Raw genomic sequence first — 11,395 nt, 5'->3', positions numbered from 1 at the left:
ATGTTTCTCCTCCCGCAATTCAAATGTTGAGACCAAATCCTTAGTGCAATAATATTAAGCCGTGGAGTCTCCAGGGGGTAATTAGGTCATGAGGGCTCCACCTCATAAATGGGATTAGTGCCCTTGTAAAAGAGGCCTGAGGAAGCATGCTTGTGCCTTTGCCATGTGAAGATGAAGCAAGAAGGCTCCATCTGTGAAGCAGAGCAAGCTCTCACCAGACACCAGATCTACTGCTGCCTTGGTCTTGGACTTCTTAGCCTCCAACATTGTTAGAAATGAATTTCTGTTACATATAAACCACCAAATCTAAGGTATTTTGTGATATCAGTCTGAATGGACTAAAACAGCCCCTCATTTGGGATTTGATACTTTTCTCATGATTAGATTGGGGTTATGGATTTGGGGGAGGAAGACCACAGAATAAAATCCTCATTACAGCGAATCAAGAATACATACCATCAACATGACGAATCACTGTTGGTGATTGCCTTGATCACTTAGCTGAGCTAGTGTTTGTCAAATTTCTTCACTCCAAGTTTATTCCATTTTTCCCCCTTTCTATACTGTCTCTTTTTAGAAGGGAGCTAATATTGTTCAGCCCACACTTAAGAGGCTGAGAGTTACCATTCACTTCCTTGAGGGTAGATACCTACATAAATTATTTGGAATTCTTCTGGACAGGAGATTTATCTATTCTTCTCCATTTATGTATATATTCAGTCATTTATGTCAGTATGGATTAATGGATATTTACTTTACATTTTTGTTTGTACTTTAATGTTACTTTATTTTGTTGTTCTAATGATTCTAGCTTTGGTCACTGGGAACTCTTTCTGTTGGCCCCTGTGACTCTTTTACATGGAGACACAATGTCCATCATTGTGAGATTTTTTTCTTTTACCATTTTCTTACTTTGTGGCACTAGCATATGCTCCAAGGACATTTTGTATATTTTCCATTCTGGTCTAAAGACCAGCCATTTCTGTAAGAAGTCTTTGTTCCCTTATTGGAGAATGGCATTAAAAATCAAGATTTGGGCATGGGGCATGACTGTTGCTTCTGCAGCATCATTGCTTCCAGGTTTTCTCAGCTGATGGGCAAGGAAATATGTGCATACTAATCTATTTACGCAAGTTACATTTTATATGTCACTTGTGGATTACATTAAGCTAAACATGAGTTCACATTTGATATCTTCAGTATATTTCCAAATTTAATCCTTTATGACATGTATCATTCTAGCCTCCTTTCTTTGCTTATTTCTAACCTTCCATACCAAGAGTGAGAAACATTGCTCCCAATTAAGTAAATACATCCCCTGTGTATTTACTTAATTTCTCAATTCCAGTATACATATTTAGTGGTTTCAGAATTGTTAACCTATAGCTCTGTAAGAAACAACCTTATCTACTAAAGTATAATGCTTATGTTTTGTCTTTATTCCTACAGACCATATTCATATCCAAATTCAGAACCATTTTCCCCCACTGTAGTAATACAGTTAGATACTTTTGATGCATTCTGAGTTCCATTCTAAGATTCCTTGACCTCCTAAATGACTTTTAAACATTTTCATACAACAGAGTTAAGTATTTGTACTGTAAAATTCTATGGGTTTTGACAAATGCATAGTGTCAGGCAGTCACCGTTATAGTATCATACAAAATCTTTTTCAACACCCTAAAAGCAATCCCTACGTTCCACTATTCAACTCTCCTCCTTCCAAACCCTTGGCAAAGACTGATTGGTTTTCCAAGTCCAAATTTTGCCGTTTTCAAAATGTGACATAATTGGCATCCTATAGCACATAGCCTTTTCAGACTGGCTTTTTTTCATTTGGCAGCATGCATTTAAGATGCATCTGTATTTGTTTATACTTTGATAGCTCATTCCTGTTTTAGTGCTGAATAGCATTACATTATATGAATGTACTTGAATTTTTCTATTTACCTATGTAAGGACATCTTGGTTGTTTTCAGTTTGAGGCCATTATGAATAAAGCTGCTACAAACATTTGTATATAGGTTTTGTATGAACATAAGTTTTCAAAGCACTTGGGCAGATATCTAAGAGTGTAGTTGCTAGATTATATGGCAAGACTATGTTTAGCTTTGCAAGAAACCACCAGTCTTCCAAAATGGCTCCACCATTTTTTATTCCCACCAGGAATTAATGAGAGTTTGAATTGCTCTGCATACTTGCTATCATTTGGTATTGTCAGCTTTTTTTGTATGCTAAACAGTCTAATAGGTGTATAGTGGTATCTCATTGTTGCTTTAATTTGCATTTTCCTGCTGACACATGATGTTAAATGTCTATTTGTATGCTTACTTCCTGTCTGCATATCATCTTTGATGACATGTTTGTTCAGAACTTTTGCTCACTTTTTAATTGGGCTTTTTTGTTGTTGCTGAGTTTTAAAAGGTTTTTCTGGTATATTTTGGATATAAGTCCTTTATCATATATTTGTGTTGTACATATTTTCTCCCAGTCTATGAATTGTGTTATTGTTTTAAGAGTCTCTTTTGCAGAGCAGAAATTTTTAATTTTAATAAGGTTTTTTAGATTTTTATTTCATGGATCATGCTTTGGTGCTGTATCTAAAAACTCATCAACAAACCGAAGGTCAATTAGATTTTCTCCCATGTTTCATCCTCCAGAAAATTTATTGTTTTGCATTTTAAATTTAGGTCTCTGTCTTAGTCCATCTGCGCTGCTATAACAAAATACTTGAGGCAGGGTAATTTAGAAAGAAGACAAATTTATTTCTCACAGTTCTGGAGGTGAAGTCCAAGATCAAGGCATCAGAAGGTTTGATGTCTGGTAAGGGCTCCATCTTGGCTTCTAAGAAGTTGCCTTACTGCTGCATACTCTGGAGGGGTGAAATGCTGTGTCCTCAAAGGGTGGCATGAATGGCAGGGCTAGAAAGGAGCAAACTCCCTCTGTCAAGCCTTTTTATAAGGGCACCATATCCTGTTTATGAGGGCAGGGACTTCATGACTCAATTACCTCTTAAAGGCCACACTTCTTACTACTGTTGCATTAGGAATTAAGTTTCAACATAAATTTTGACAAAAGCATTCAAACTATAGCAGACTCTGATCCATTTTACATTAATTTTTGTGAAAGGCCTGTAAATATCTGTTGTAGGAGTGTTTGCTTGTGTGGCTGGCTCATGTGGCAGCATTGAATCCTTCTCAATCTCTTTAAGCAGTGAAAAAGCTCAGATGTAGAGTTCTACTCTCTGTAATTTACTGTAATTTAAACTTTAGCACAAAAACATTTTCTTCAGTATAACTCTAGATTTTTTTCAGTGCACATGTCTATGCTAAAATTTAGAGGCACTGGACATTTAAAAAGTTTCTCTATAACTTTACAGAAAGTTTCTGGCTTTCCCAAACTAAGACTAGATACCTTGCAGAAAATGAAACAGAAAATTTGAACTATTCTATATCTTATTTAGAAATTTTCATTTTCCTTGAGCCATGTAAAATTATAAACCACTGTTTATAATTATTTGGGGTTTAATAAAAAAAGTTCATTGATCACATTTATAGTTATTATTCTTAATGATAAAGTGAGATCTTTCTAGATTTATTTAACATTCTATTTTCAATTTTTTAAAGCATTTCCAATTTCAGTTAACTTACACAATTTTTTAAGTAGAAAAAAAGTTTTACTGAATACAGTTAAGATAGTTGGAAGCTGGGGTCCTAATTTCCTCCCCAATTTAGAAAATGAAAGAGATATTGGGGATACATTTAAGAGTGAGCCAGGAAAAAACTCAGACTCTCACTTCTACCATAGCATTTTCAAGTAAGAAATCATACAGAAAACTGCTATAATATTGGCAACACGGAGTGAGATTATCAGTAAGGGAGGAAAACAGTATTTTATTTATCAATCAAGAGGAAGTCCCACATGCTCCCAAGTAATACTTTTCATCATACTCCTTTTAATAACCAGAGGATGTACCTTTTAGTGCTGTGGTACCAAGTCAGCCCTTAGTAAGTGTGGAGCCTATGAATGTCAAGTAAAGAAAGCTGTCAAAATGGAATCAGAATCCTTTGAAAATATTCACCTTTGCAGTGATGTCACTCTAACTGTGCAATGCTTTTAACTTTTTAAAGTGTTTCTAAATATTAAGCATGCCAAGCTCTGAATTCTAAGATACAATACCTCAATAGATTCAAATCTTAGTGGATTGGACCTTGACCTGGATATAAGGCTTTCCCTTTTACTAAAACTGAATTTAGACATAAAAGCTTTTTTTCTCTTTCACTATGCAATAGGAAACTTGACTTACTTAGTGTCTAGCATCAGCTACTACTTTAAGAAACATTTTCTTGCCAGGATTTTGATACCCTTTATTAGTGTCTGCTGACTGGTAGAGAACATATATGAGGGAGAAATGCTCAGAAGATTCTAGCTTGTGGCAAATCTGATAGGAAACAGGTCAAATATAAATCATAGCATTGACAAGGAAGACAACTCTAATTAGCATTTCTATTTATGCTTAATTTTTCAGCATGTTAAGAGAGGGAACATGAAGATGAAACTGTAACTGCTTGGTGGCAAAAATAATCTGTTTTCTGGCAATTTTTGAAAGCATCAACTAAAATAAGAAATTATTAAATATAGATATAAGTTATTTTATATCATACTTATGTAAGTATCAAATTTTGATTAAGGTCACCTTTAACCCATAAAAGAAAAAAACTAATATGAATGGGTCAAGAAGAATAATAAAATGATAGGGGAGACTCAGGAAAACAATGGATGTTATTATGTAATAGTAAGACAAATCACTGAGTTAGGATTCAGGAGGACTGAATGTTTGTTTTAGCTCGGCTGCTACATGGCTATTTGATTTTAGGCAAAGTGGTCACTTCATCTCTTGGATTCAATTTCTCCATCTGTTACATCGGGGTCACAGCATCTGAGATCTTTTCCATCTTTCAGTTTCTCTGAATACATAAGAAGAAATAACACAGGTCAAAACATTTTGAAAAATATAAAACTCTACACAAGAGCAAGGTGTTACTGTCATTGGTGAAATTTCTTACCTAAAGACAACAGGGACAGATTTCACAGCTGTTACTGACAAGTGGGGAGATTCTGCAGGTGGGTCATGTAGACATGCTGCTTCAGGCTGAGCCTTGCAGGAGTGAGGAACTTCACACCCAAATAACTGCTAAGAGAAACAGTGCCATTGATGGCCTCCATGCCTGGGAGTCTTTACAGCAATGTACACAGGACTAGGAGGGCAATGTTGCAAAACCTCATAATCTTGTAGCCCCTTCTTGAAAGCAGAAATATAATAGGACAATTTCCATAGCAGAATTTTACTTCTTTTAGCCTCCAAAAAGATCAAAGAATTCCCAGGCATCTCTACAGATTAGCCTTTTTCAACTGGCCTTTCTAGCCCTTTAAGAATCAGCATTCTCATGAACATAGGCTTCTTTATTCCTTAAGAAAAAAAGATGAACAAAATGTGATTGGTTATTATTTACTAATGTTTACATACATACACTTCATCTGAGAAGTCTCAGCTCCAAATGCAGTTGATGAGGGCTGGAAAAGTGACAAAATGAACACTTGTTTCACTTCAAGTTTCCCTAGGCCCTTCTTCCCTACTGTCCCCACCCCCTTGCCCCCCACAGCTATTTAAAAGATGTCATTTTTATTTATTTATATACTCATTAAATAGGTAATAATTTACATGATCATCAAAATGATATAAAAAATCTATTAAAAAGTTTGCCCTGTTGGATATCCCCTCTCACCACTCCTATTCAACACAGTGTTGGAAGTTCTGGCCAGGGGAATCAGGTAGGAGAAGGAAATAAAGGGTATTCAGTTAAGAAAAGAGGAAGTTAAATTGTCCCTGTTTGCAGCTGACATGATTGCATATTTAGAAAACCCCATCATCGCAGCCCAAAATCTCCTTAAGCCGATAAGCAACTTCAGCAAAGTCTCAGGATACAAAATCAATGTGCAAAAATCACAAGCATTCTTATACACCAGTAACAGACAAACAGCCAAATCATGAGTGAACTCCCATTCACAATTGCTTCAAAGAGAATAAAATACCTAGGAATCCAACTTACAAGGGATGTGAAAGACCTCTTCAAGGAGAACAACAAACCACTGCTCAAAGAAATAAAAGAGGATACAAACAAATGGAAGAACATTCCATGCTCATGGGTATGAAGAATCAATATCATAAAAATGGCCATACTGCCCAAGGTAATTTATAGATTCAATGCCATCCCTATCAAGCTAACAATGACTTTCTTCACAGAATTGGAAAAACTACTTTAAAGTTCATATAGAACCAAAAAAGAGCCCACATTGCCAAGACAATCCTAAGCAAAAAGGACAAAGCTGGAGGCATCAGGCTACCTGACTTCAAACTATATTATAAGGCTATAGTAACCAAAACAGCATGGTACTGGTACCAAAACAGAGATATAGACCAATGGAACAGAACAGAGCCCTCAGAAATAACACCATATATCTACAACCATCTGATCTTTGACAAATCTGGCAAAAACAAGCAATAGGGAAAGGATTCCCTATTTAATAAATGATGCTGGGAAAACTGGCTAGCCATACGTAGAAAGCTGAAACTGGATCCCTTCCTTACACCTTATACAAAAATTAATTCAAGATGGATTAAAGACTTAAATGTTAGACCTAAAACCATAAAAACGCTAGAAGAAAACCTAGGTAATACCATTCAGGACATAGGCATGGGCAAGGGTTTCATGTTTAAAACAGCAAAAGCAATGGCAACAAAAGCCAAAGTTGACAAATGGGATCTAATTAAACTAAAGAGCTTTTGCACAGCAAAAGAAACTACCATAAGTGAACAGGCAACCTACAGAATGGGAGAAAATTTTTGCAATCTACTCATCTGACAAAGGGCTAATATCCAGAATGTACAAAGAACTCAAACAAATTTACAAGAAAAAAACAACCTCATCACAAAGTGGGTGAAGGATATGAACAGACACTTCTCAAAAGAAGACATTTATGCAGCCAACAGACACATCAAAAAATGCTCATCATCACTGGCCATCAGAGAAATGCAAACCAAACCTCACTGAGATACTATCTCACACCAGTTAGAATGGCGATCATTAAAAAGTGAGGAAACAACAGGTGCTGAAGAGGATGTGGAGAAATAGGAACACTTTTACACTGTTGGTGGGACTGTAAACTAGTTCAACCATTGTGGAAGTCAGTGTGGCGATTCCTCAAGGATCTAGAACTAGAAATACCATTTGACCCAGTCATCCCATTACTGGGTATATACCCAAAGGATTATAAATCATGCTGCTATAAAGGCACATGCACACATATGTTTATTGAGGCACTATTCACAATAGCAAAGACTTGGAACCAACCCAAATGTCCAACAATGATAGACTGGATTAAGAAAATGTGGCACATATACACCATGGAATACTATGCAGCCATAAAAAAAGATGAGTTCATGTCCTTTGTAGGGACATGGATGAAATTGGAAATCATCATTCTCAGTAAACTATCATAAGAACAAAAAACCAAACACTGCATATTCTCACTCATAGGTGGGAATTGAAGAATGAGAACACATGGACACAGGAAGGGGAACATCACACTCTGGGGACTGTTGTGGGGTGGGGGGAGGGGGGAGGGATAGCTTTAGGAGATATACCTAATGCTAAATGATGAGTTAATGGGTGCAGCACACCAGCATGGCGCAGGTATACATATGTAACTAACCTGCACATTGTGCACATGTACCCTAAAACTTAAAGTATAATAATAATAAAATAAAATAAAAGATTAGACAAAACAGTGATACCTAAATATACTTATAATAAATTACTCATTTTTTAAAATAAAACAGTGGAAATACAAAAAAAAAAAAAAAGAAAATGTGACACATATACACCATGGAATACTATACAGCCGTAAAAAAGGATGAGTTCATGTCCTTTGTAGGGACATGGATTAAGCTGGAAACCATCATTCTCAGCAAACTATCCCAAGAAAAAAAACCAAACACCGCATGTTCTCACTCATAGGTGGGAAATGAACAATGAGAACACTTAGACACAGGAAAGGGAACATCACACACTGGGGCCTGTCATGGGGTTTGGGGAGTGGGGAGGGAAAGCATTAGGAGATATACCTAATGTAAATGAGGAGTTAATGGGTGCAGCACACCAACATGGCACATCTATACATATGTAACAAACCTGCACATTGTGCACATGTACCCTAGAACTTAAAGTATAAAAAAAAAATTGAAAACAAAAAGTTTGCCCTGTCCATCCAATTTATCTCCTGAGCCTTGCAATCAGCCTTTTTAGTTGCTTCTATATCTATTCAGTGTTTCTTTATATGTATCAACACATCTGTTTGCATGTCTTCTTATTTATCTTCTTTATCACACAAAAAGGTTATGTGCCCAATACATTCTTGTGCTCCTTGTCCCCAAACTTTTCTAATATAGCCTGCCATTTATGCACTTTGTAATGTAATGGTCACATGGTCCCATTTATAGTAAGCAGAAAAAGCCGAGTCTGATTCATTGAAAGGTTATTGCCCTTCTGAGGAGGAAATTAAAACTATGTAGCAATCTTAATTTTAAAGTAAATTGTGGTGCTGTGGCATAGCTGTGACCCTAAGCAACAATCTCATCTAACAGTCTTAGAACATTCTGTTGGCATTTGATATCCTTAATAGCCCAAAGAAACCACATAAAAGTGCTTTAAAAAAAGACTTGTTGAATTCAATTAAATTTAGAAGAAACTTGGCTGTTTTGCTTTTGTTTCACTTTTGCTTTAGTTTAAAAACTGTGAGGATGAGGCAAGTAGCTTAGATGTTAAAACTTAAGTAATAAACAGATGGGGAGAAGACATAAGTGTGAAAAACTGTCAGTCTATCCATCCATTCATGCATGCAGCAAGAATTACTGAGCTCCTGCTATACTCCAGAAATGATTCCACACCCTGGGGATACAGTGGTAAAAATGCCAAGCTCATAACAGCTTGATGCCTGTATTCTAGGCTCTAGCATATTCTGTTACCCTATACAAAGGCACTATGACCTGCCACCAAAATTACTGCTCTGCCTCCTATCTCATTTCCTCATTTCTATCCATCCAGCCTTTGGTCTACACTCATAACAGCAGCCAGATTTGTTCTGTTAAAAAACAAAGGCCAGATGATGTCATCCCTACTCAAAATCCCCTGATAGTTTCTCATCCCCTTTGAGTAAAAGCCAACGTTCTTATAAAGCTTACACGATCTAGCTCTCTTACTGATCAGTGAAACTACATAATGATACATTTGGATATAAAACATTATAAAGACTATGAAAAATGTAGAGTAATATATAACAGCATTTCTCTTTCCACTGAGCAATATTAAGTACTTAGTGTGTACAGATTACTGATGCTACCTCTTTAGATTCCAGGTATGAGAACGGTTATGGCTGAGTACTAAGTGCAGGCATTGGCTTAAGTAACCATAGATTTCCTTTCATAAAAGCATTGACATATTTAATGGAAGTGGTAGATAAACATTCATTATTTCTGCTGTACCATTGTCCTATCTATCCATTAAGAAAATACGCAAGAAAGCACAGCAGAAAAAAAGTTGGTTGAAAATAGTAGATTTAGGCAAGACTGAATTGAAGATCTTTAATTCTTTCCCTTGGAATTTCTCAGAGTTCAGAGACAGGCTCAATAATAAAACAATTCAATGCCTTAAATGAAATATAAATCAATGCCTTAAAAAATACTGTTTTATTTTGCAAATGAATGAAAAGATCCCAACTTTATGTTTCCCAAAACATCGAAAAGAGGATTAAAAAGGTGGTTGGCTATATTTTTTTCCAAACAGAGTCACATATTAAATGTTACAGATAATTTTCAGCCAACTGACAGGAAGACTTTTAATCTATAATAGTTTTATATCCTTCCATGTAACTTTTGGTAAAGTGGATTATACGGCTAGGATTTCCAGACAATATACTAAAAACAAAACCACTCTCAATTCCTTGAAAGAAAATAGTTCATACTATTTACCATGGCTGCATTCTGAATTTTAAATGCAAATAGTACGTTTATGCAATGACACTCAAAAAATCTATTGAATGAATTAATAAACAAATAGATCCAAATAAGTCTTTCTTGCATATTGATTAGTGGAAAGAAAACAAAGAACCAGAACCATCTAGGAGATTTACCTATATTTGGGATAGGAACCTCTCTTCCTCTGGAATTCCTTGCAGGGACATGCATTTAAGTTGCGCTTTAGATCCCACGAAGCAGCATGGGGGTGCAGAAAGAGAAGGCTGGTGGTGGTCAAAGACTCCTGAGCTCATATCATGGCATCCTGTTTGCTAGCTGACAAAGTGATCTTATGTGTGTTAGTTCTGTGGTTCCATTTTGCTATCTATAAAATTTGCCTAACACTACCTCCCTTACAGAAACATAGTGAGGATAAAGGAGATAACATCTGTACAGATCTCATGGTCTTTGCATTTAAGTTCTCTCTCATTGAAATACTCTTTTCTCAACACATTGCTTAGCTGTTTCCTTCTTTTTATATTTTTTCCATAGGTTATTGGGATACAGGTGATATTTGGTTACATGAGCATGTTCTTTAGTGGTGATTTGTGAGATTTTAGTGCACCCATCATCCAAACAGTATACATTGCACCCTATTTGTAGCCTTTTATCCCTTGCCCCTCTACCACTCTTCCCCCCAAGTCCCCAAAGTCCATTGTATCATTCTTATGCCTTTGCATCCTCATAGCTTAGCTCCCACATATCAGTGAGAACATACAATGTTTGGTTTTCCATTCCTGAGTCACTTCACTTAGAATAATAGTCTCCAGTCTCACCCAGTTTGCTGCAAATGCTGTTAATTCATTCTTCTTTTTCTCTGGGTAGATACCCAGTAGTGGGATTGCTGGATCAAATGGTAGTTCTAATTTTAGTTCTTTAAGGAATCTCCCCACTGTTTTCCATAGTGGCTGTACTAGTTTACATTCCCACCAGCAGTGTAGAAGTGTTCCCTGATCACCCCATCCACACCAACAGCTACTGTTTTTTTGATTTTTCGATTATGTCCATTCTTGCAGGAGGAAGGAGGTACTGCATTGTGGTTTTGATTTGCATTCCCCTGATAATTCGTGATGCAGAGGAGTTTTTCATGTTTTTTGGCCATTTGTATATCTTCTTTGAGAATTGTCTATTCAGGTCCTTAGCCCACTTTTTGATGGGATTGTTTGTTTTTTTCTTACTGATTTGTTTGAGTTCATTGTAGATCCTGGATATTAGTCCTTTGTCAGATGTATAAATTGTGAAGATTTTCTCCCACTTTGTGGA

The 11,395-nt window shown here is 36.2% G+C and overlaps 1 annotated feature.

The window, feature by feature from the left end:
• Nucleotides 9,189–9,268: an enhancer, noted in NCBI's record as "active region_6195". NCBI's record gives its function as "activates an Ori minimal core promoter by ATAC-STARR-seq in GM12878 lymphoblastoid cells {active_cell/tissue: GM12878}" and the evidence as "EXISTENCE:reporter gene assay evidence [ECO:0000049][PMID:35858748]".

The sequence above is a fragment of the Homo sapiens genome, chromosome 12, assembly GCF_000001405.40.
Source record: "Homo sapiens chromosome 12, GRCh38.p14 Primary Assembly".
In the NCBI taxonomy this organism is placed as follows: domain Eukaryota; kingdom Metazoa; phylum Chordata; class Mammalia; order Primates; family Hominidae; genus Homo; species Homo sapiens.
Note: the sequence above shows the minus strand (reverse complement) of the source record. Positions and strands in the feature narration are given on the sequence as shown.